This window comes from Homo sapiens, chromosome 3, assembly GCF_000001405.40.
Source record: "Homo sapiens chromosome 3, GRCh38.p14 Primary Assembly".
Classification (NCBI taxonomy): Eukaryota; Metazoa; Chordata; class Mammalia; order Primates; family Hominidae; genus Homo; species Homo sapiens.
The window spans coordinates 113396890-113422931 of record NC_000003.12 but is presented as its reverse complement, the minus strand read 5'-3'; the positions used below and the strand labels follow the sequence as shown (position 1 = coordinate 113422931).

At 37.0% G+C, this 26042-nt stretch overlaps 1 protein-coding gene and 2 long non-coding RNA genes across 9 annotated transcripts in view; 2 read left to right on the top strand and 1 right to left on the bottom strand.

Moving 5' to 3' along the window:
* CFAP44-AS1 (CFAP44 antisense RNA 1) overlaps positions 1 to 18934 on the bottom strand; it is a 29995-nt gene extending 11061 nt beyond the window's left edge. The window contains exons 1-2 of the long non-coding RNA NR_046728.1: positions 18876 to 18934; positions 5602 to 5717 (exon numbers count right to left, since the gene is read on the bottom strand). This is a non-coding gene — a long non-coding RNA (CFAP44 antisense RNA 1). The remainder of the gene's footprint in view (positions 1 to 5601; positions 5718 to 18875) is intronic.
* SPICE1-CFAP44 (SPICE1-CFAP44 readthrough (NMD candidate)) overlaps positions 1 to 26042 on the top strand; it is a 228227-nt gene that overhangs the window by 92225 nt on the left and 109960 nt on the right. For 3 of the 6 annotated variants that reach the window (NR_183045.1, NR_183049.1, NR_183047.1), the window contains 8 exons: positions 2753 to 2915; positions 6305 to 6407; positions 15891 to 16005; positions 18916 to 19080; positions 21193 to 21348; positions 21645 to 21692; positions 22288 to 22387; positions 22932 to 23026. This is a non-coding gene — a long non-coding RNA (SPICE1-CFAP44 readthrough (NMD candidate)). Of the gene's footprint in view, positions 1 to 2752; positions 2916 to 3144; positions 3294 to 6304; positions 6408 to 13609; positions 13827 to 15890; positions 16006 to 18915; positions 19081 to 21192; positions 21349 to 21644; positions 21693 to 22287; positions 22388 to 22931; positions 23027 to 26042 lie in introns of all 6 variants that reach the window. The other 3 variants (NR_183046.1, NR_183048.1, NR_183050.1) reach the window with 3 other exon arrangements.
* CFAP44 (cilia and flagella associated protein 44) overlaps positions 1 to 26042 on the top strand; it is a 154585-nt gene that overhangs the window by 18583 nt on the left and 109960 nt on the right. For both annotated transcript variants that reach the window (NM_001164496.2, NM_018338.3), the window contains exons 5-13: positions 2753 to 2915; positions 6305 to 6407; positions 13610 to 13826; positions 15891 to 16005; positions 18916 to 19080; positions 21193 to 21348; positions 21645 to 21692; positions 22288 to 22387; positions 22932 to 23026. In NM_001164496.2, the coding sequence (NP_001157968.1) occupies positions 2753 to 2915; positions 6305 to 6407; positions 13610 to 13826; positions 15891 to 16005; positions 18916 to 19080; positions 21193 to 21348; positions 21645 to 21692; positions 22288 to 22387; positions 22932 to 23026 (1162 nt within the window). The remainder of the gene's footprint in view (positions 1 to 2752; positions 2916 to 6304; positions 6408 to 13609; positions 13827 to 15890; positions 16006 to 18915; positions 19081 to 21192; positions 21349 to 21644; positions 21693 to 22287; positions 22388 to 22931; positions 23027 to 26042) is intronic.

Below are 26042 nucleotides of genomic sequence, written 5' to 3'. Positions count from 1 at the left end.
TACAATCTGATCCATTCTGGGTTTGAAAGAGCCTTTTATCAGGGCAGCAGCATGTAAAAGGGAGTTTTCCTGCTAAAATTAAAGATAATAATATTAGATAAATGATAATTTCTCCAATTCCTAATTTTCATCTAAAGTAGTGAAGAGATGGTAACCAATTTCTATTCTCATAGCTACTAACATGCTTTAGCCTTCTGAGGTATCATATTGCCACCTGGGAAGAGGGAAAGAAAGAAAGGGAAGAAGGGGATGTGAGAGCAGTGGTTTGAAGGAAAGAAAAAAACCGGTGGGCAAAACTTCCTCCAGGAGGCTTGAATAGCTTCATTTACATCTTTGGATCACATATTCATTCACATTTCTATACAAGATTTAATTTTAGGCATTTATGTGTTTATTAAATTTATAAAATTTCTTTTTCTTGAACAGATCCAGTACCCTGAAATGCTTTATCTCTCTCTTTCAGTTTAACCATTTGGTAATGAGATAGGCTGCTTGTGGTTGGTTATAATTTGTTTATATTTCACAATTTAAATTGCATTAATGTAAATCTTCTCTTTTTACATTCTACATTTTCTTCTTGTTAAAACTTTCCATAATTTCTTTCTCTGAAAATTATTATTTACTTATGAATAAGTGGAATTCTCTAAAATCAGAATTTGTTTTTAAACAAGGGCTCAAGAAATACAAATTCCTCCAATGATCCTTCAACTCTGATGTTCAGCAACAAATTATTGTGAACAAAGAATCTATCTGCTTAAGCTACACTATAGGATATGCTTCTTTTGTCAGCTCTAGTTTTTTTCATAGATTGAGCTCATTTAACTTGCTTATTATATTTATATTTTGGGCATATTAATTTTGACTTAAACATACTAACAATATACATTTAAAAGATGTTTTATATAACTTAGATTTTTATACCTCTTTTTTAAAAAAATATATTTATTTTAGATACAGAGGGTACACATGCAGGTTTGTTTTAAGGATATATTGTGTGATACTGAGGTTAGGGCTTCTGTTGATCTCATCACCCACATAGTGAACATAGTACCCAATAGGAAGTTTTTCAGCCGTGCCCCCTCCCTCCCTCCCTCCCTTTGGAATCCCTAGTGTCTGTCGTTCCTGTCTTTGTGTCTGTGTGTACTCAAGATTTAGCTCCCACTTATAAGTGAGAACATGCAATATTTGGTTTTCTGTTTCTGCATTAATTTGCTTAGGATAATGGCCTCCTGCTGCATCCATGCTGATGCAAAGGACATGATTTCATTCTTTTCACGGCTGTATAGTATTTCATGGTGTATATATGCCACATTTTCGTTATCCAGTGCACCACTGATGGGTATCTAGGTTGATTCCATGTCTTTGCTGTTATAAATAGTGCTGTGATAAACATATGAGTGCATGTGTCTTTTTGGTACAATGATTTTCCTTTGGGTATATCCCCAGTAATTGGATTACTAGGTTGAATGGTAGTTCTATTTTTAGTTCTTTCAGAGATCTTCAAACTGCTTTCCACAGTGGCTGAACTGATTTACATTCTCACTGATAGTATATAAGCATTCGCTTTTGTCTGTAGCCTCACCAACATCTCTCATTTTTTGACTTTTTAATGATAGCCATTCTGACTGGTGTGAGATGGTATCTCATTGTGGTTTTGATTTGCATCTCACTGATGATTAGTGATGTGGAGCGTTTTTCATGTTTGTTGGTCGCTTGCATGTCTTCTTTTGAAAAGTGTCTATTGAAGTCCTCTGCCTGCTTTTTAGTGGGATTATTTTTTTCTTGTTGATTTCTTTAAGTTCCTTATAGATTTTGGATATTAGCCCTTTGTCAGATGCATAGTTTGGGAATATTTTCTCCCATTCTGTAGGTTGTCTGTTTAATCTGTTGATGGTTTATTTTGCAGTACAGAAACTCTTTAGTTGAGTTAGGTCCCACTCTATTTTGAATTAGTACAATTTTACTCTATAGCATACATACACACAAACACATACATATACACACACACTAGTTACCTACACACCAATACATATACTAATAAGCTCAGAAAAGAAATGTTAGTCTATTAATTACATATATATTTATATGCTATAAATCAATTTTCATAATTTGTTGATATGAATTAAATTTTAGTTATATTTATGTGAATTTATTATAATCATGTTATCAAATGGTGTGTTAAAATTTTACAAACATGTTTGTTAGAATTTTAAGCATCTTGTCTTTCAACATCAAGGAAAAGGCCTACGTAATATTTTTACTGTGGTTAGTCAACAAACTTAACAGGCATTGTGAATACAAAGGTGATGAAGATACAGACTTTCTCCCATGTTATACAGTATGATTTAGTTTTAGTGGGAGAGAGGAAAATAAAATTATTTAGGTGACAGTTTTGCTGCCTGTGGTACCCAAATAGGTTTAACCTTATTTATTTTTGCAAAAACAATTAATGGGCTCTCAGGATTTCCCCAGGAAAATTAAAATAGTAACCAAATCAGAGTATGGGGATAGTCACCTGATTTATTTATTTATTTGTTTATTGTTTTCCTGCCCAGGCCTTTTTTTTCTCACCTAATTTAAAAACAAAATTGTTAGTAATATGTAGAAAAATCATGAGTTTCAGGGTAAAATTCAACTACTTCAACCTCACATCTTCATCTAAGAGTATAGATTTAAAAATTTATTTCATCACTTTTCCAATCCCTAGGATGGTAGTGTTTTTCACTTCTTTTCCTTAGCAACTTTCCCTCAGACATTCTTTTGGTTATGACTGTAGAAAGCGAGCCAACCTACAACTTCTGGACGACAGTATCGCCATATACATAGCTGGGAACCAACTGATCTTTCTGAATTTGAAAACCAAGGAACAGATCTACCTGCGAAGTAGCAGTGGTGAAGGAATTGGCGTCATTGGGGTATGCCTTCAATAAATTAGAAAAAAACCCCAAAAAACCCTATCTTTTTGCTTGTTCTGTGGACCAGCCAACATGGTTGTTAGATGCCAACACCATGCACAGTATTGTGGGTTCACATGAGATGCACAGCTGTCTTTATTCCAAGGCATTTTCAATTCAGTTATTACAGACACTCATTCACTGTCACTACCTCTGTGCACTATTATAATATTATTATGTCTTTTTGCAGATAAGGAAATGGGCTTATAGAGGTTAGGTGACTTCCCCATAGTCGTGCAAGTTTTTCATATTTAGATTAGAAGTGGAGATGAGTGAGGAGATTTTAAAGAATCTTAATCTGAAGACTGAAGCAGGCACATGGCCATGGGAATGGAGAAGGTGAGGAAAATGTGAGACACACACATAGGATGTAGACATAGATTGACTATGGAAACAGGATATGTTGAGATATATGGAGTGAAAGATACTATCATGTTTGTTTCTTTCTTGATCATCTATCTATATATAGTATGTATACATGATAAAAGTCCATGTCCTCGGAGAGTTTGTTATAAGACTAATTAATAAGTTCAGCAATAATTTATTATGTAATACTGTGCATCCAACACTACACAGAACATATAATGGGGAATTTAAATGAAGAAGAACTCATGACCTGTATGAATTCAGAGTTTAAAATCCATCTAAAGAGACAAGACCTATATTTGTAAAAAGAAAAAAAAACTAGACACACAAGTACATGATAATGTGGCAATAACTGTGTGCAGATAGCCATGGGCCCAATGTAAGGGTCGTGGATTTTGTGGAGGGAAGTCAGTCGGAGCCTATGAGGTTTCAGGAGCCCTGAGGTCCACACCATCTGCAGGGGACCAAGAAACATCTAATTATCACATATTTATCTATTACTTTATGGCAGTAATAGTTTTAAAATTTCTATTTTAATATTTTGTTATAAAATAATTTGGTTTGAGGACAGTAGTCAGAGGTGTAGTGTGGTCAAGCATGCTAATCCTGGCCAAGCACGGTGGCTCATGCCTATAATCCCAGCACTTTGGGAGGCTGAGGCGGGTGGATCACGAGGTCAGGAGATCAAGACCAGCCTGGCCAACATGGTGAAACCCTGTCTCTACTAAAGATACAAAAAATTAGCCAGGCATGGTGGCACGCGCCTGTAATCCCGGCTACTCAGGAGCCTGAGGCAGAGAACCACTTGAACTTGGGAAGTGGAGGTTGCAGTGAACTGAGATCATGCCGTTGCACTTCAGCCTGGGCGACAGGGCAAGACTCTGTCTCAAAAAAAAAACCCAAAAAACAAAAAAAACAAAAGCTAATCCTAACTCTCATCCACCTGGATGTTGAGCAGTTTTATGTCCACAAGGCCTTTTCTTCATGTGTGCTGGAGCTGTTGAAGCCTGGGTAGTGACAGAGGCCTTGCCTCCACTGTCCGTGTTACCTCATCTTTTCTGAAACAGTTATCCAGTTATGGTTCAGAAATACTTTAGCAAGGCTATGAGAAACCTATGAGAAAAGTGTTTGGGCACCCTACCTGGAAAAGGTAGGGTGAACCTCTATGTTGAGTGTAAAGTAAATGATTTACTAATTCCAGGTCTTCACCAAAAATAAAACTCCTGGCTTGGCGCGGTGGCTCCTGCCTGTAATCATGGCACTTTGGGAGGCTGAGGTGGGTGGATCACTTGAGGCCAGGAGTTCAAGACAAGCCTGGCCAACATGGTAAAACCCCGTATCTACTAAAAATACAAAAATTAGCAGGTGTGGTGGTGCACACCTATAATCCCAGCTACTTGGGAGGCTGAGGCACGAGAATTGCTTGAGCCTGGGAGGCAGAGGTTGCAGACAGCAGAGATCATGCCACTGCACTCCAGCCTGGGTGACAGAGTGACAGAGTCTCAATAAATAAATTGTGTCTCAATAAATAAATAAATAAATAAATAAATAAATTGTGTCTCAATAAATAATTAAATAAATAAAACTCCCAAACTCAACCCCACAGCAGTTTCCAATATGAGGCAGAAACTTTTTAATTTACTGTAGACAAGACCTAGAAGGGTAAAGGATTTGCATGAATCTTCATCCAGATTTCTTTGACCATATGTTCTACACCATATTTCTTTACAAATGGGAATCTAGATAGATATGGTCTTAATCCATGTCCCCCACCTCCTTGAGATCTACTATTTCTTAGGCCCGTTTGCTTCTTGACTCTGATACTTGGCTTGAATCCTATCTCTTACACTTAACACATTGTAGACTGTGTGACTGCAGGCAAGTTACTTGAACTCTGTGCCTCAGTTTACTCATCAATAAGATGGAGATAATAATGGTATCCAAGCTCACAAGGTTGGTATAAAATTTAAAGGAAATAATGTTATCTTGGGTACCAGGATTAGCAATCTATATCTGAGAACCAGGCTCTTTGTCTTATATGTAATCAGGGGATGTGAAATAATATCTGAAAACAGAATTTTATAAGCATAATATGTGTTTTAAATAGCTTATCCTTATAACAGCTTATTTTTATTTTCATTTTTTGGCTGGCCATTTACCCTTCCTACACATTTGGCTTACCAATAGACAAAAATAACAGAAATGACCATACTATTTTATCCAACTTATATGGCTATCTTTGAAAATACTGACACAAATAGTTTATCCAGGGCATACTTACTGTATTTTCCTCTGTGTCTGGTTTGGAAATATTATATCTTTCTTACTTCTGGTAAGTTTACATTCGTTTGTAACTTTTTCCACAGTGAAATTTTAAAAATTGTGATGTAACCTGGTCTGGAAACAAGAATCCCATACATTCCATGAATTTTTCTATACAAAATTTAGGTTGATTTATATGTAGGGTAGACAGTTCATCTCAGTGATTCTCAAAGCAAGGTCTCCAAACTAGCTGCATCAACATCACCTTGTTAGAAATGTAAATCACCTTGTTAGAATGTAAATCACGCAGTTAGAAATTACCTTATTAGACATGTAAATGCAAATTCTTGAGTCCCAGCCTGACAGATTAAGTCAGAAACTCTGGGTGTTAGGGCTTGCAATCTATATTTTAATAAGTTCTTTAGTGGATTCTGATGCACATTGAAGATAGAGAACCATTGTTCTAGCTCTTCCAATGGCAATGAAAGAAATTGTAGAGTTAGAAATGGCTGTCTTAAAGTAAAATTTAAAATGTGTATTCTTCTAGTTTTCAGTTTCAATTGTATCCATCATTAAATATTTATCTGATGCCCATTTTTGAGTTTTCTATTAGAGTAAAGCCTAATAAATTATGAAATAATGGATGCTAAATACTGCATTAATCAGACTATTTATACAAAAATCTTTCTTTTAATATTTTGGTGAAATTTTATCTTTTGTAGGTTCATCCACATAAAACTTATTTCACAGTAGCTGAAAAAGGGAGTTTTCCAGATATTATCATCTATGAATATCCTTCTCTGAGACCATACAGAGTCCTTCGAGGTGAGTCCAGAAGCATATTTAAATATTTCATGTTCAAGGATAACAACATTCTGAAGAAGGTGTGACATTATTTCATAAGTCAAGGTTCTCCAGAGAAACAGAACTAGTGGAAGACAGAAAAGAGATTTATTCAAATTCACACACAACAATACTAACCTTAAATGTAAATGGGCTAAATGCCCCAATTAAAAGACACAGACTGGCAAATTGGATAAGGAGTCAAGACCCATTGGTGTGCTGTAATTCTGGAGACCCATCTTACCTGCAAAGACACACACAGGCTCAAAACAAAGGAATGGAGGAAAATTTACCAAGTAAATGGAAAGGAAAAAAAAACAAAAAAACACCAAGGGTTGCAATCTTAGTCTCTGACAAAGCAGATTTTAAACTAACACAAATCAAAAAAGACAAGGGCATTACATAATGGTAACAGGAACAATTCAAGAAGAGCTAACTATTCTGAATATGTATACATCCAATACAGAGCACCCCGATTCATAAAACAAGTTCTTAGAGACCTACTAAGAGACTTAGACTCCCACACAATAGTAGTGGGAGAATTTAACACCCCACTGTCAATATTAAATCAATGAGACAGAAAATTAACAAGGATATTCAGGACTTGAACTCAACTCTGGATCAAGTGGACCTGATAGACCTCTACAGAGCTCTCCCCTACTCCAAATCTACAGAATATACATTCTTCTCAGTGCCACATGATACTTATACTAAAATCGACCACATAATTGGAAGTAAAACACTCCTCAGCAAATGCATAAGAGTTGAAATCATAACAGTCTCTCAGACCACAGTGCAATCAAATTAGAACTCAGGATTAAGAAACTCACTAAAAACCACACAACTTCATGGAAATTGAACAACCTGCTCCTGAATGACTCCTGTGTAAATAATGAAATTAAGGCAGAAATCAAGAAGTTCTTTGAAACCAATGAGAACAAAGAGAGGATATACCAGAATCTCTAGGACACAGCTAAAGCAGTGTTAAGAGGGAATTTTATAGCACTAAATACCCACATCAAAAAGCCAGAAAGATCTCAGATTGACACCCTAACATCACAATTAAATGAACTAGAGAGGCAAGAGCAAATGAATCCAAAAGGTAGCAGAAGATAAGAAATAACTAAGATCAGAGAAGAACAGAAGGAGATAGAGACAGAAAAACCCTCCAAAAAAATCAATGAATCCAGGAGCTGTTTTTTTGAAAAAATTAACAACATAGGTACACCACTAGCTAGACTAATAAGGAAGAAGGAAGAGAAGAATCAAATAGATGCAATAAAAAGTAATAAAGGGTAAATCACCACTGAACCCACAGAAATACAGACTACCATCAGAGAATACCATAGATACCTCTATGCAAATAAACTAGAAAATCTAGAAGAAATGGATAAATTCCTGGATGCATACACCCTACCAAGGCTAAACCAGAAAGAAGTTGAATCCCTGAATAGACCAATAACATGCTCTGAAATTGAGGCAGTAATTAATAGCCTACCAACCAAAAAAAACTCCAGGACCAGATAGATTCACAGCAGAATTCTACTAGAAATACAAAGAGGAGCTGGTACCATTCCTTCTGAAACTATTCCAGACATTTGAAAAGGAGAGACTCCTTCCTAACTCATTTTACGAAGCCAGCATCATCCTGATACCAAAACCGGAAAGAGACATAACAAAAAAAAGAAAACCTCAGGCCAATATCCCTGATGAACATCGATGCAAAAATCTTCAATAAAATACTGGCAAACCAAATCCAGCAGCACATCGAAAAACGTATCCACCATGATCACGCCGCCTTCATCCCTGGTATGCAAGGCTGGTTCAACATACACAGATCAATAAACGTAATCCATCACATAAACAGAACCAAAGACAAAAACCACATGATTATCTCAATAGATGCAGAAAAGGCCTTCAACAAAATTTAACATCCCTTCATTTCAAAAACTCTCAATAAACTAGGTATTGATGGAATATATCTTAAAATAATAAGTGCTATTTATGACAAACCCACAGCCAATATCATATTGAATGGGCAAAAGTTGGAAGCATTCTCTTTGAAAACTGGTACAAGACAAGGATGCCCTCTCTCACCACTCCTATTCAACATAGTATTGGAAGTTCTGGACAGGGAAATCAGGCAAGAGAAAGAAATGAAGCGTATTCAAATAGGAAGAGAGGAAGTCAAGTTGTCACTGTTTGCAGATGACATGACTTTATATTTAGAAAACCCCATCATCTCAGCCCAAAATCTCCTTAAGCTGATAAGCAACTTCAGCAAAGTCTCAGGATACAAAATCAATGTGCAAAAATCACAAGCATTCCTATACATCAACAATAGACAAGCAGAGAGCCAAATCATGAATGAACTTCCATTCACAATCACTACAAAGAGAATAAAATACCTAGGAATACAACTAACAAGGGATGTGAAGGACCTCTTCAAGGAGAACTACAAACCACTGCTCAAGGAAGTAAGAGAGGACACAAACAAACGGAAAAACATTCATGCTCATGGATAGAAAGAATCAATGTTGTGAAAATGGCCATACTGCCCAAAGTAATTTATAGATTCAATGCTATTCCCATCAAACTACCATTAGCATTCTTCACAGAATTAGAAAAAGTGATTTTAAGTTTCACGTGGAATCAAAGAAGACCCCATACAGTCAAGACAGTCCTAAGCAAAAAGAACAAAGCTGGAGGCATCACACTACCTGACTTCAAACTATACTACAAGGCTACAGTAAACAAAACAGCATGGTACTGGTACCAAAACAGACATATAGACCAATGGAGCAGAACAGAGACCTCAGAAATAACACCACACATCTGATCTTTGGCAAACCTGACAAAAACAAGCAACGGGGAAAGGATTTCCTATTCAGTAAGTGGTGCTGGGAAAAGTGGCTAGTCAAATGCAGGAAACTGAGACTGGACCTCTTCCTTACACCTTATACAAAAATTAACTCAAGATGGATTAAAGACTTAAATGTAAAATCCAAAACCATAAAAACCCTAGAAGAAAACCTAGGCAATACCATTCAGGACATAGGCATGGGCAAAGACTTCATGACAAAAAAGCCAAAAGCAATTGCAACAAAAGCCAAAATTGACAAAAGAGAGTTAATTAAACTAAAGAGCTTCTGCACAGCAAAATAAACTATCATTAGAGTGAACAAGCAACCTACAGAGAGGGAGAAAATTTTTGCAATCTACCCATCTGACAAAGGTCTAATATCCAGAATTTACAAGGAACTTAAACATGTTTACAAGAAAAAAAAATTCCATCAAAAAGTGGGCAAAGGATATGAACAGATACTTCTCAAAAGAATACATCTATGCAGCCAACAAGCATATGAAAAAAAGCTCAACATCACTGATCATCAGAGAAATGCAAATCAAAACTACAATGAGATACCATCTCATGCCAGTCAGAATGGCAATTATTAAAAAGTCAGGAAACAGTAGATGCTGGCGAGGCTCTGGAGAAATAGGAATGCTTTTACACTTTTGGTGGGAATGTAAATTAATTCAACCATTGTTGAAGACAGTATGGCGATTCCTCAAGGATCTACAACCAGAAATGCCATTTGACCCAGCAATACCATTACTGGTTATATACCCAAAGGAATATAAATCATTCTGCTGTAAAGAGACATGCACACGTATGTTTATTACAACACTATTTACAATAGCAAAGACGTGGAACCAACCCAAGTGCCCATCAATGATAGACTGGATGAAGAAAATGTGGTACATATACATCATGGAATACTATGTAGCCATAAAAAGGAATGAGATCATGTCCTCTGCAGGGACATGGATGAAGCTGGAAGCCATCATCCTCAGCAAACTAACACAGGAACAGAAAACCAAATGCTGTGTGTTCTGACTCATAAATGGGAGTTGAAGATTGAGAACACATGGACACAGAGAGGGGAACAACACACACCAGGGCCTGTTGGGGGGTGGGGGTGAGGGGAAGGAACTTAGAGGACAGGTCAATAGGTGCAGCAGACCACCATGGCACACATATACCTATGTAACAAACTTGCACGTTCTGCACATGTATCTTTTTTTTTTTAGAAGAAATAAAAGAGATATATTTAATGGAATTGTCATGGAAAAGGGGTCCCGATCCAGACCCCAAGAGAGGGTTCTTAGACCTTGTGCAAGAAATAATTTGAGGTGAATCCATAGAGTAAAATGAAAACAAGTTTATTAAGCTGAGACGATGGGGTTTTCTAATATACAACCATGTCATCTGCAAACAGGGACAATTTGAGTTCCTCTTTTCCTAATTGAATTCCTTTTATTTCTTTCTCTTGCCTGATTGCCCGGCCAGAACTTCCAACACTGTGTTGAATAGGAGTGGTGAGAGAGGGCATCCCTGTCTTGTGCCAGTTTTCAAAGGGAATGCTTCCAGTTTTTGCCCATTCAATATGATATTGGCTGTGGGTTTGTCATGAATAGCTTAAGCTGATAAGCAACTTCAGCAAAGTCTCAGGATACAAAATCAGTGTGCAAAAATCACAAGCATTCTTATACACCAATAACAGACAGAGAGCCAAATCATGAGTGAACTCCCATTCACAATTGCTTCAAAGAGAATAAAATACCTAGGAATCCAACTTACAAGGGATGTGAAGGACCTCTCCAAGGAGAACTACAAACCACTGCTCAATGAATTAAAAGAGGACACAAACAAATGGAAGAACATTCCATGCTCATGGATAGGAAGAATCAATATCATGAACATGGCCATACTGCCCAAGGTAATTTATAGATTCAATGCCATCCCCATCAAGCTACCAATGACTTTCTTCATAGAATTGGAAAAAACTACCTTAAAGTTCATATGGAACCAAAAGGCCACATTGCCAAGACAATCCTAAGCCAAAAGAACAAAGCTGGAGGTATCATGCTACCTAACTTCAAACTATACTACAAGGCTACAGTAACCAAAACAGCATGGTACTGGTACTAAAACAGATATATAGACCAATGGAGCAGAACAGAGCCCTCAGAAATAATACCACACATCTACAACCATCTGATCTTTGACAAACCTGACAAAAACAAGAAATGGGGAAAGGATTCCCTATTTAATAAATGGTGCTGGGAAAACTGGCTAGCCATATGTAGAAAGCTGAAACTGGATCCCTTCCTTACACCTTATACAAAAATTAATTCAAGATGGATTAAAGACTTAATTGTTAGACCTAAAACCATAAAAACCCTAGAAGAGAACCTAGGCAACACCATTCAGGAAATAGGCATGGGCAAGGACTTCATGTGTAAAACACCAAAAGCAATGGCAACAAAAGCCAAAATTGACAAATGGGATCTAATTAAACTAAAGAGCTTCTGCACAGCAAAAGAAACTACCATCAGAGTGAACAGGCAACTTACAGAATGGGAGAAAATTTTTGCAATCTACTCATCTGACAAAGGGCTAATATCCAGAATCTCCAAAGAACTCAAACAAATTTACAAGAAAAAAACAACCCCATCAAAAAGTGGGTGAAGGATATGAACAGACACTTCTCAAAAGAAGACATTTATGTAGCCAACAGACAAAATGAAAAAATGCTCATCATCACTGGCCATCAGAGAAATGCAAATCAAAACCACAATGAGATACCATCTCACACCAGTTAGAATGGTGATCATTAAAAAGTCAGGAAACAACAGATGCTGGAGAGGATGTGGAGAAATAGGAATGCTTTTACACTACTGGTGGGAGTGTAAATTAGTTCAACCATTGTGGAAGACAGTGTGGTGATTCCTCAAGGATCTACAACTAGAAATACCATTTGACCCAGCCATCCCATTACTGGGTATATACCCAAAGGATTATAAATCATGCTACTATAAAGACACATGCACATGTATGTTCATTGTGGCACTATTCACAATAGCAAAGACCTGGAACCAACCCAAATGTCCATCAATGATAGACGGGATTAAGAAAATGTGGCACATATAACCATGGAATACTATGCAGCCATAAAAAAGGATGAGTTCATGTCCTTTGCAGGGACATGGGTGAAGCTGGAAACCATCATTCTGAGCAAACTATTGCAAGGACAAAAAACCAAACACTGCATGTTCTCACTCATAGGTGGGAATTGACCAATGAGAACACTTGGACACAGGAAGGGGAACATCACACACCGGGGCCTGTCGTGGGGTGGGAGAGGGGGTAGGGATAGCATTAGGAGATATACCTAATGTAAATGTTGAGTTAATGGGTGAAGCACACCAACATGACACATGTATACATATGTAACAAACCTGCACGTTGTGCACATGTACCCTAGAACTTAAAGTATAATAAAAAAAAAAGAAAACAAGTTTATTAAGAAAGTAAAGGAATAAAAGAATGGCTACTCCATAGGCAGAGCAGTGGCTTGGGCTGCTTGGCTGAGAATACTCATAGTTATTCTTGATTATATGCTAAACAAGGAGTCGATTATTCATGAGGTTTCCGGACAGGAAACGGGTGGGCAATTCCTGGAACTTAGGGTTCCTCCCTTTTTAGGCCATATAAGGTAACTTACTGATGTGGCCATGGTATTTATAAACTGTCATGGTGCTGGTGGGAGTATCCTTAACATATTAATGCATTATAATTAGCATATAATGAGTAGTGAGGACGACCAGAGGTCGCTTTCATCACCATCTTGATTCTGGTGGGTTTTGGCCAGCATATTTACCACATCCTGTTTTATCAGTTGGGTCTTTTGACCTGTATCTTGTGCCAACCACCTATCTGATCTGGTGAGTTAGAAAGCCCAACCTCCTGGGAATGCAGCCCAGTAGGTCTCAGCCTCATTTTACCCAGCTCCTATTCCAGATGGAGTCACTCTGGTTTTAATGTTTCTGACACTGCTATCTAATATGCGTTTGTGTTTCTCCCCAAGTCATAAAATGGAATATGTTCTCAAAGTGTTTTTCTCATGCAATATGTGATTAAGACTTCTTTACCCTCCCCTTTCATATAACATAATTCATTCTAAAGCCAAAGATGGAGAATGTTTTTGGAATTGTTCCTTTAGGGTATTCTTGGCATTCTTACATCACCATGGGCTGACTCCCTCTCTTTTTTTTACAATATGTTTTTGAAAATGAAATAAATGTGTCCTTATTTATTAGGCTTCCATTTATCCTTCCAGATGGGACTGAGAAGGGATATGCTTATGTGGACTTTAACTACAGCGGTAACTTGCTGGCCTCTGTTGGTAGTAACCCTGACTACACACTGACTATCTGGAACTGGAAAGAAGAACAACCCATACTAAGGACAAAAGCTTTTTCTCAGGAAGTTTTTAAGGTTACTTTCAATCCTGATAAGGAAGAGCAGCTTACTACATCGGGATCAGGCCACATCAAGTAGGTTGGGTAACCAATAGAGGTGCCAGTAGATATCACAGGAGTATTTTTCTAAGAGGATCTAAGAGCTGGAGACTTTTTTTTTTTTTTTTTTTTTTTGCTGTTTTGGTTAACATTAGAATTATTTAAAAATATGTTATTTTAAAAGCTAACTAGTAATGCACCTTTTCTAATTAGATATGTGGGATTTTATTTCTGCAAACAGCATAGATAAAATAAGGGCTTTTTTTTTTTTTTTTTTTGAAATGGAGTTTCGCTTTTGTTGCCCAGGCTGGAGTGCAATGGCATGATCTCAGCTCACTGCAACCTCCGCCTCCTGGGTTCAAGCGATTCTCCTGCCTCAGCCTCCTGAGTAGCTGGGACTACAGGCACCCACCACAACGCTTGGCTAATTTTGTATTTTTAGTAGAGTTGGGTTTCTCCGTGTTGGTCAGGCTGGTCTCGAACTCCTGACCTCATGTGATCCACCCGCCTCAGCCTCCCAAAGTGCTGGGATTGCAGGCGTAAGCCACTGTGCCCAGCCAAATAAGGATTTTTAAATATAGCCTGCTGCCTTCTTATAGGCTCCACCTCCTAAAAGAGTTTATGTAGTGTCTTAATAACTAACATTGGGATGGTATTTCCAAATTCATACTGAGCTTTCACATCCACTACTGAATTTCTTTTTTGTAGCAACTCAGTCTTCATCTGTAAAACAAGAATTATCACACTATCATTCCTGACAAGGAACACTCAATACGAAACAGTGGCAGAACCTACTCTTGATCTTAGGTCTTGCTCCAAACTCCATGCTCTTTTCATTATATCATACCCTCGTCTATTTCCGGGATGGAATGATCTTGTCTTTCTCTCTCTTTCTTCCACTTTGTCTCATGCATTTGCGTAACAATCTTCTACCACCCCAGAGCTTCCCATAACTTGATTATCAGTGTCTCTAAGAGAAAGACATTTTTATCCATCCTGACTTCCTCTTGTCTCAATTTAAATCTGGTCTTTTTGTTATTCATTTATTAGAAATATAGACTAATTGAGCAGATTTTTAATTGTAATCTTTGGGGAATTGTCAAATAACCTTCTGCTAGCTATATGTGAAAATTTTCCAATTTCTTATATTTTCTGATTATTTAGTAAAATCTGTATTTTCTATGCCCCATATCTTTGGGGAAAAGGCAGACATTGAACAGTTAATTTCATGTGTGAAGTGCTATGAAGGAACCCAGAGTATATGGAAGCATATCATCAGGGGACCTACCATTCCTTTGGAGAGGATGTTGGCTATCTAGGCTTTTAGCTTTGTATCATTGGCTTGTTGATACTCTCCATTATCTATTTTATATCTACTTGGATAGGTCTTCTTTTTCTACATGGTCTTCATCATCCTGTCCATTTGTTTAGACTATTAATAAGAAAATGTTAGTAATAACATTTATTGATTGCTTTGATATGATAGGCACTGTTCTAAGAATTTTTCAACAATTCTATGAGGTAGATGTTACTAATTTTCTCATTTTATACCTGAGAAAATGAAGGCACAGGGTGATCTAGAAAAGTGCTCAAAGTCACACAGCTAGTAAATTAGAATTCTTTGGAAAACTTTTATGTCTTCTAAAACAATACTGTCTAATAGAACTTTCTGACAGACTGGGAATGTTCTATGCTGTCTAATACAATAGCTGCCAGCCACATGTAGTTACTGAGCACTTGAAATTGGCTAGTGTGACTGAAACACTAAAATGTTGATTTTATTTAATGTTAATTACTTTAAATCTAAATTTAAATAGTCACACATAGCTGGAGGGTACTGCATTAGGTAGCACAGCCCTAAAATATAAGATGCATGAAAGCAGGAAATTTTATTTTTCGCCTGTTTTGATCATTGCAGAATTCACATTGCCTACAACCTTGCCGGGCAGGTAGTAGATACTTAATAAATCTTAATCAGATAAATGAATGAATGAATGAAATAATATATGCAACTATGAAATATGTAAATGTTTGGGTCATATTAAAATAAAAATCAATAAAATATCTTTGAGGTACATTCAGTCTCTTTCTTGTTTGTAGGTTCTGGGAAATGGCTTTTACGTTCACCGGTCTCAAGCTGCAGGGATCACTAGGTCGATTTGGCAAAACAATCACTACTGATATAGAAGGCTACATGGAGCTCCCAGATGGGAAGGTGAGTACAGCTACTATTCTACAATATTAAAATTGTGTTTTCAAGTACATATATGAAAGCACACATATATGAAAATTCTAACAAGCTCTGCCAATAACAGATATTATTGTAAATGTAATGAACATTTAATTTTACTTCTTCAATTATCAATTGTAATTAAAATATTTCCCTGAAATTGTCATAATCCATACTTACCTACCATTTTCTATTTTCTTTTTACTAAATATGGTACACACATATAAAGTATGTGAGCATTTTCATATATTAACATAATGACATATTTGTTACTTTTTTTTTTTTTTTGAGACAGGGTCTCGCTCTGTTGCCCAGGCTGGAGTGCAGTGGCGCGATCTCCGCTCACTGCAAGCTCTGCCTCCCGGGTTCACGCCATTCTCCTGCCTCAGCCTCCCGAGTAGCTGGGACTACAGGCGCCTGCCACCATGCCTGGCTAATTTTTTGTATTTTTAGTAGAGACGGGGTTTCACCGTGTTAGCCAGGATGGTCTTGATCTCCTGACCTCGTGATCCGCCCACCTCGGCCTCCCAAATATTTGTTACTTTCAGTTATGTCACAGAGTTGCAGTATTTATGTTACTTACTTTTCCCCATTTTGTCTTGCTATCGTGATCCAAGAAGACTTATTGGGTCAAAGGTTATATACAACCATGTGGCATTTATTTTTATTGTCAGATTATTACTCAGAAAGAGCAAACCACTTTATAGAGGCATCTGCAACACTGCAACTGTAATCTGTTAATTTATTCTTTAATATTGTTAGTTTCTTTCCTTTCTTTCTCTTATAAAATTTATAGGCATATTGCCTGAAACAATAGTTAATTAGGATTAGTTCTCTATCAATATTTTACATAGCTTCCTATTAGAATGAGTTATACATTATTATTTGTGATAATCTCAGTTGTAAGTAAATGCCAGCACACAAATATTTAAGGAACCAAGTTGTCTAGTCATCTACCTGACTGAATATTCTCAATTCAAAAGCATGGTATATAGGAGGAAGTAAAAAGCCTTGGATGCTGGCGAAACTATATGTCTAAATCCATGAGATGATCTTAAATCATCCCAGCTTCAAATTCTCAATACTGTAAGAATTAAGCTAAGATAAAGATCAATAGAATCCTTGTTAAAAACCTGGTATGAGATATATTTTTTAAAGGGTTGGTAGAATTTGTATAGATATAGGGAAGAAATAAGCCATTTTAAATGATAGAGCAACTGAAGGAAATGTTTAGCATTAGAAATAAATATCAAATTTTTAGAGGGCAAATTGGAATTAACCATTTATGTTGGCAAAAAGTGGAGAATTTCAGTGGAGAAGTATGACTTGGTCCTAGTGTACAAGGAGTTTAATAGGTAGGCAGAACTACTCTACATGGGAAGAGTAGACTTGCAAATGAAAGAAGTAATAAACAAATTTGGCCATAAAATGCCAGGTTGATTAGAAGGGAAATCTGGAGTCAAGGAAATGAGCTAGAACAGAAGCTGTTGCTGTCATCTAAAAAGAGATGATCAAGGGCCTAGACTTCTCAGAACAAATGGAAAAGGGAAGCTAGATATGAGTCACATTTCATAAAGGAATGCTTTGTAGGTTTTTGTCATCACTGCTGGCTTTCATCACTGGACAGAAGAAAATAAGTCTAAAGACTCTACCATAAATGGCTGAGGCTTAAGAACAGAATCAGTAAAGTCGGTAGGGTTGTTAAAAAATAGGTAGACCCAAGAGATAAAGGACTGAATAAAATCATCAGTTTCTCTAGATAAGGGGGAAATGGAAATGTAGACCTCTAGAGCATGCAGGTAAAAATTAGAATAGAGTTTCCCAAAGTGCATTTTTATGGAACATCAGTCTGTACAGAAGCTCCATAAAAATAAGACTTTTTAAGTCAAATTCCTTTGTATCTAAAAATTCCTCTTGGTGATTCCCAGCAAATACTTCTCTATTAAAAGTTCCCAGGGGTCCTAGAGAAAATAAAGTTGTTTGACTTTGTTTATCCTAGCAACAGCCTTCTGAGGCTGTGCAGTCAGAATAGGAGGTTTTGAGCCACCTTGCTTGGATTAGAATGCTGACTGGGTAGTTTTGGGCAAGTTACTTAACTGTTTTGTGCTTCAATGTTCTCCTCTGTAAAATGGGGATAATAATAGTCAGGGCTATCATTGGCCCATATGGTTCCTTTGCGGGGGTCAGAAAAAGCTGTTTGTTCTAGGAGAATGAGGTAACCAACATGCACAAGTGTACATGGTATCCCTGATAAATGTACCTAGTTCATATGGTTTTTTGCATTAAATAACTTAACATATATAAAGTACTGAACCAGTGCTTGGTACAGAGTCAGTACTCAATAAATATTACTTTATTTGTGACACTTGTTAAATATCTTAACAACTAATGTTTGGTGGCATGCACTTGGGAAAATGCCAGATTAAACAGGCTAATTTGAGAAAAGTTTTAGATGATTATCCTTGTTTGAAATTGGATACTATTATGCTATAATCTACTTAATTCAGTACTGGCCTTACAAGTTATCTAACATCTAAAATTTGATAGTATTACATTTAAAAAGTAGACTCTCATCTAATTCCACTCCTGTCTTTTGTCCTAAGAGATGTACCAAGAAGTCTATTGTATACATACATGAACAATTACCAACAACATACAGCCTAATCAAAAAGATGTAAAACTGATCATATTGCTGGAAGGAAATACATCAAAATGTTATTGGTAGTTGTGTCTGGGGTAGTAGGTCTTCATTTCTGTATTTTTTTATTTTTCCATTTAAAAATTTTATAATCAATAAAGATAACCTTAAAAAATAATTTTCACCTACTATTTGAGGCATAAATATGTACACTTACCTGTTTTAATGCACATTTCTTTTTTCCACATACCTGCCAGGTGCTCTCAGGGTCAGAATGGGGCAACATGCTGCTTTGGGAAGGTGGTCTGATCAAAGTGGAGCTCTGTCGAGGGACAAGCAAGTCATGTCACAATGGTCCCATTAACCAGATAATGCTGTATGAGGGTGAAGTTATCACTGTTGGGTCAGATGGATATGTTAGGGTAAGTTTTCTCGATACTTGGATGGTAGCACCCACGTTTAAGACTTGTAGCTCACCCAAAGGGTTTTATTTCTCATAAAGGTTATTTTGTGAAGGAGATCAGTAGTCATTTACTCCCAAGGCCAACTCACTTTAAATAATGCTTCTCTTGTGGTAAATATTTGCATTCTTGTCAAAATTAATTTACTGCATTTTACCACTGAAACTTTTTGAGAGGGCCTCTTGTTATTCTGATTCTGTTGAAATAATAGCTTCAGAAGATGAAAACTCATGTTAGCACAAGATGAACAGTAGACCCACATATCCTTCCAAAAGGCTCCATATGAATGGGCCATTTTGTAGGAACAAAGGTGCTGAACATTTGTTAGTTATTTTTTACTGAGGTTACCACTTAGAAATACACCCAGAGGTGAACTGATGGAGTTTGCCTATGGATGCTACATTCTTCTTGCTCCTTATGCTAGGGACCTCACTTGCTTTCTCTTGGGGACACTCTCTTGCCCAAAGCCTGGGCTAAGCTGGAACATTGCTCCAGCATCTAAGTCCCCTTGATTGCTATTGTCACACTTCTTCCACCCACTCTGTGTAGCACTTTCTGTTAATGAGTATTGTGCTGTGGCTGGTCAACCTGTAGCCTTGTGATTTGCCTTGTAGTCCTCTTGGTAGATATTTTCAGTGGGGCCTTTCATAAGAAAGTGGCAGTGTTCTATTGACATTCTTTAAGAAATGTTATCAAAAGTAAGATTCTTTTTTTTTTCTTTTTTAAGAGTCTGGTCACTCTGTTGCCACCGATTGAGCTTACTGTGTTTAATATTGTTTAACCCATATCTCCCACAGTGGGTCCTCTTACCACTGGCTTTTTGAGCCCCAGTGTATGTTTTTTACATTTACAATATTAAATTTAATCTTGTTAGATTTCACACATTTCTCTGAGAATCTTTTGTGTCCTTTATTTTGTCATATGATATATTTGCTATCTTTCCAAGATATACGTTACCCCAAAATGTCTAAATACCAAGTGGGAGAAAACCTCAGGAGAAAAGAAGTTAAATATTTCACAGAGGATCCCTTCATGGACACCAGTATTTCCTAAGCTTGCTTCTCTTTTCAGAGTCTGTCCTTGTCTTTTCAGTCCTTCACACAGTAAATCTTTACCTCTTACCCCATAGAAAAAACCTAGCCCAACTCCCAGGGGTTAGTCTGATCCTAGTTTGATCCTTAACCCTAACCCTGACCCTCAGATATTTCCCTCTTCCCCCAACCAGGCTAATCTATGGGACAGTCTTCCCAGAGTTCCTTTCTCAAAGTCTCAGTTATTCAGTCTAGGATCACATGGCAGGGTATGTTGCCAGAACTGTCCAGAATGAGCTTTGGCCCCTCACAGGGGAGGTCCTGCTGAGCCTCCCTGCCACCGTGAGGTAAAACTGTGCTCCTTCACTCTTCCTATAGTATTCTAGACTCCTCTCCCAATGAACAACAATCTACACTTCACTGTCTCACTGTCAGATAGTAACATTTACTGTCTCACTTACTGAGACATGTTTGGTGGTATGCACTTGGGGAAATGCCAGATTTTCCCAATGAGATAGTAAAGTGTGAAATATTAATATTCAGGAAGAGAAACATTTTCTAATGGAGACTTTATCTACATCTATATTCTTTGCTTCTAATGAGATAGTGCTTGAGTCATTAAGCAAGAAGGTATATTTCCCCCTTCCAGGGGCCTGCTGGTATGTAGAAAACAGGGTTCATTATAATGTCTTGCTGAACAACTGAACCATATACTCCTATGGCCACTTTATGTAAAAAGAGACCTAATAGAAACCTTGAAATAAAATTTGTTTTGGATAAATTAGAATTCTTATGCAAGGCTGTACTTTCTCACTAATCTTTATAAATATAAAGGAAACTATAATAGCTTATCATACCTCAGTTCAGAGTAAAATTTCAGGGGTCAGGTTTTGGCTGGTGTTCTTATCACACTTGTTCATTGTTACTTTTCATGAAAGAAAAAGAAATGACTTTTGAAAAAAAAATCAGGGTTTTTCTGGCTTAGAAAATAAATGTTCAGAAACTACTGATCGATTAAAGTATTTTCTTTTCATTTTACAAGATATGGGATTTTGAGACAATAGACACTGCTGATGTAATAGATGAGACTGGATTGTTGGAGATTGAGCCTATTAATGAACTTCAAGTAGACAAGAATGTGAATCTCTTCTCTATGATAAAAATGAATGAAACTGGAAATAACTTTTGGTTGGCTCAGGTGTGTTGCATTCTTGTCTCTTGGCTCTTTAACATTACATGGACCAAAAATTAAAGTAGTAGTATGATTGATTTGGCTACAAGTCCATTTGACTGTAAGTGTTATGAGATTGCTTATTGTGTGGCTTTAGTCTAAAATATAGAAGTTGTTTTTATTAAATTTCAATTATACTTTAAAATATATGTGAGCTTTTGATATTATTGCTTGTCCTTACTTTAATAAAACATAGAAAGAACATTTAAAAAATCTGATGAAAGTTTAAAATGATAAAACAAAATACTATTTAATTTTTTTAGGATGCCAATGGAGCCATATGGAAGCTTGACCTTAGTTTTTCAAATATTGTAAGTTGCCTATTATTCTTATTTTCTCCTAACTTTCATAGTAAAAACTTTTGTTATTTGTCTTTAAAGTATTCTTTATCTTTCTCCATATTTCATCATGGTCCTCATAAAAAACTTGCCTAACATGTGCTACTCTTGAGAATTCTCTCTCTCGTTATGATTTTACATAAAAAAGAATCTATCTCATAACACAATTTACCAGAAAAGTGGCCGTGTCAATACCTAACATTATATAGTACTTTATAGTTTTTATAAATATATAGAATTTTCATGTATTTTATCTCATGTGATCCTCATCACTACCCTATTTAGTAGACAAGCAGCTGTTACCATCTCATTTTACAGATGAAGAAATGGAAACTGGCATTTGAGGTGACTTGCGCAAAATCACACAGCCATTAAGGACAAAGCCCAGGACTCTATCTGGTTCTCCTAATTCTGAACCAGTGTTCTTTCTAACTTTTTAGGCTTTTTCTTATTTCTATCCAAATAAAATCACATGTGTTATATTTTTATCTTTGCATTTTTTTAAACTTGATCTTAATTCTTTGTTACTCTGTCTTTGAGATCTAGTAAGCTGTCTATCTATTCTCAGACCCAGGACCCAGAATGCCTCTTCTCCTTCCATTCTGGAGCTATTGAAGCCGTGGCTGTTTCTCCTCTCACTTATCTCATGGCCACAACTGCCTTGGACTGTAAGTAGGAACTCTTAATAAAAATATGTCTGGCCTTGTTTTGTTTTATTTGCAATAAAATTTTTATATGTGTTTGACTTAAGAGCATTTGGGGATTTTCCCAAAAGGGGAGCCTCTTGAATGCAAGCGAGTTGAGCTGTGGAGAGGAGAGGCCACAAAACACAGCAGCCATGGTTATTGTGAGAGATTAAAAGAAGGACAAAATCTGTAAATTGCTCATGAAAATGCTGCTCGTTTTGATATTGTCCACATTTGTGTTTTTTCTATTCTTTCCGTCTCCTTTCTTCCTTCTTAACTTATGGCAAATCTATATGGACTATGCAAGGTGAAATTGACCCAGCAGTCAATCATCTGTTTTCTTCTTTATTATTCATGTTTATGAATTACCTGTTTGAGGTTGTACCTGAAATTTTTTACAAAAGAAAGTTATTGACTGATTTAGTTAAGAAATTTCTTGTTATAATATTCAACATGTAAAAAGTGAGCCAAGACTTAAAAAAATTATGTATATAATTTTTTTTCTTTTAAAACTGTCTTTCTATAGGCTCTGTTCGAATCTATGATTTTGCTAGCAAAACTCCTTTGGCCCAGATGAAATTCAAACAAGGAGGTACTGCCCTTGTTTGGGTACCCCGAATGGTAAGTTTGTTGTTATAATGAACTACCAGAATCTATTGGTAAATATGGTATATCAATGCTATTTTCTGGAAATATAGATATTTGCTGACTCAAAATTTTAAGGAATAATAAAAGTTTTAAGTTAGTTTATTTTAGTCAGAATGTAATAGAAATCTTTACCATGATTGTTGTTATGGGTTTGGTCTTGTTTTTAGTGAAATTTTTTGCCACCTGTAGATTTGTAACAGTTTCATGTTGCAAAGCAATTTCCCAACAGAACTTTGTGTATCTAGCCTCGATCCATCTGACTCTGATTTCATTCATTCTATTAATATTTACAGAGTGCCGACAATGTGCCAGGCCTTGTTTTAGATTCTGGGAATATAGCAGTGAATAAAAAGACAAAAAATACTTGCCCCTCATGGACCTTACGCTTTAGTGGGAGGGAGGCAGAGGCAGATAGTAGTCAAAATAAGTAAGTTAAGTACATGTTATGTTAGATAATTATAAGAACTATAGAAAAAAATTAGGCTGAGATAGGGAGTTGTTCCATTTATCAATTGCTGTGTAATAAACTATCTCAAAATGTAGTGGCATAAAATAATCATTTTATTTTGCTCATGTAGTCTTTGTGTTGGGATTCGGGTGACAGCAGAGATGGATTGTCTCTGCTTCAGAGTGTCTGGGAACTCAGCTGGGAAGACATGAATGGCTGGGCCTGGAATAATCCAAAGGCTTCTTGATCACAAGGCTGTCACCTGGGTTGGATGACTTGAAGGCTAGGCTAAGCTGGGACTGCCAACTGGAGTGTTTATACCTAACACCCTCTCCATGTGGCTTAGGTTTCATCAGAACATGGAAGCCTCAGGACAGTCACACACTTTTTACATGGTAGCTCAGGGCTCCAAGATCTAGTGTTCCAACTGTAAAGGCAGAAGCTGATGACCTTTTATGGCCCATTCCCCAGAAGTCAAAATATCACTTCTACCATACTTGATTGGGTGAAGCAGTCACACAGTCACAAGCCCCATACAGAATCAAGAGGAGGGAACTTAAACCCCATCTGTCCATGGGAGGCCCATCAAAGATTTGCAGCCATATTTTTAAAATGCCATGGAAGTATTTGGGGAAATATTTAATCTTTACTATTTTGGGTTGAAATTAAAGAGAAAATATTCCAGGCTAAAAGTAAATTTGGATATAATTGGAATTAGGGGGAATTTCATGATGGGATCAAGATCAGAAAGAGAACTTAGTCCAGGGAAGAGAGCCATCTTCATGATGAGGCTAGAGTAAGTAGAAATGACAGAGCATTTAGATTGGCAGACCTAGCTCACTCACTATCCTAATCTAGTTACACTCTTAACTGAAGTCTTAAAACTACAATCCAGGTAATTGAATTGTTTATTCAGATGATCGTGTAATGTTCACAGCATGTTTCCTTTTTTAGGCTTATATTCGAGTAATGATCATATGGATTTTAAGCTACAATTAAAATGTCCCTTCTCCATACCCCCTTGCCTTTCTGGAAGGCTACACATCAGTTTTTATGACTCAGCTCAGGTCAGACATCATCTCTGCATAGCCCTCCATGAATCTACCTTCAAGTAGAGTTAGGGCCTCCTTCCTCTGTGATTTTCTTCCCCTTAGTGCTTGTGTGTATATCTCTTACAGCATTTATCAGAGCATACTAAGATTATGTGCTTTATTGTCTTCCCACTAGACTGTTTTTCATGGTGACAACCATGCCTTATTCTTCTTTGCATCTCCAGTGCCTCTATAGTTACTGGTACATTTAGACACGTAGTAAATTTTTATTGGATAAACAACATTCAACTGAAGTTGAATGGTGTACAGCTTTTTTATTCCCTAAATTCTCATAACTGATGGTCACTGAGCTCTACAGGATGCCCAGGCTCTTCCAAGACAGTAGATTTGGTACATTCCAACATTGGTAGGTTTACATGTCTAGCTGAGACTTTTCCTCTAAGCTGCAGACTATGATATCTTTATTTTAAAATCTCAAGGGGACCTCGAACTCCGTGTTTCCAAAACTAAGTCCATGATCTTCTGCACATCCCCAATCATCCCTCTCTCTAAATCAACAATAGCAACTACAAACCACACACACACCTGGCTCCCTTCCAGTGTTTTCTGTCACAGTTAGTGCCATTATCAGTCATCCTTGACTCCTCCCTCTGCTTCATTCCCCATATCCAGTAATACCAAGTAGGGCCATTACACCTCTTCCTAAAATATGTTCATATCCCTCATCTTCACTACATTACCTCAGACCAATAGTTCCCCTGAAGTGTAGAAGCCATCTTAAAAGATCTTTCAAAAGTTCTCCCAGCATCCTATCCAAACCACCTCATATCTATTTTCCATACTGCAGCTAGGATGTCATTTTAAAATGAGCAAATCTGACCATGTCACTACCACTTCCCCCTGGAACCCAACTAAAAACACTTTGATGGCTTTCCACTGCTCTGGGATGAAGGCTTTTCTTATTGTGACATGGAAGCCATTTTATGATCTGCTGCCTGGCCTGCCTCTCTTCCTCTCCAGCCTCCTGGGGAAACATTGTTCTCTTACTCTAGTCAGACTATAACTTTTTCTTGAGTTCTGTTATTTCCTGCCACAGGACTTCTGCACAAGTTAAATTCTCTCTTAGGAGTGCTTGTGCCACCTTCCTGTACCTAGCTAATTCCTGAACATCCTTTTGTTATCAGCTCCACCATCTCTTTCTTAGGGAAGCCATAAGTCGAGGTCAGCCTTCTTTGTTATATGCTCTCAGAGAATACATTTCTTTCTTTTAGCACTTATTTCAGTTCACAATTTCACACTCATTTATGTGATTAATGTCTGCACCTTTCACTAGACCAAAACTCTGTGAAACCAAGCACTGAGTTGGTTTATATTCACCACTGAGTTGCTGATGATAGGTGCTTAGCATGTGGTAGGCAGACACTCTGCTGTTTGTTCATTCAGTGTTTGAATTAATGTTGTTTATCCTTCCTGTGGTCATTGGTTATAA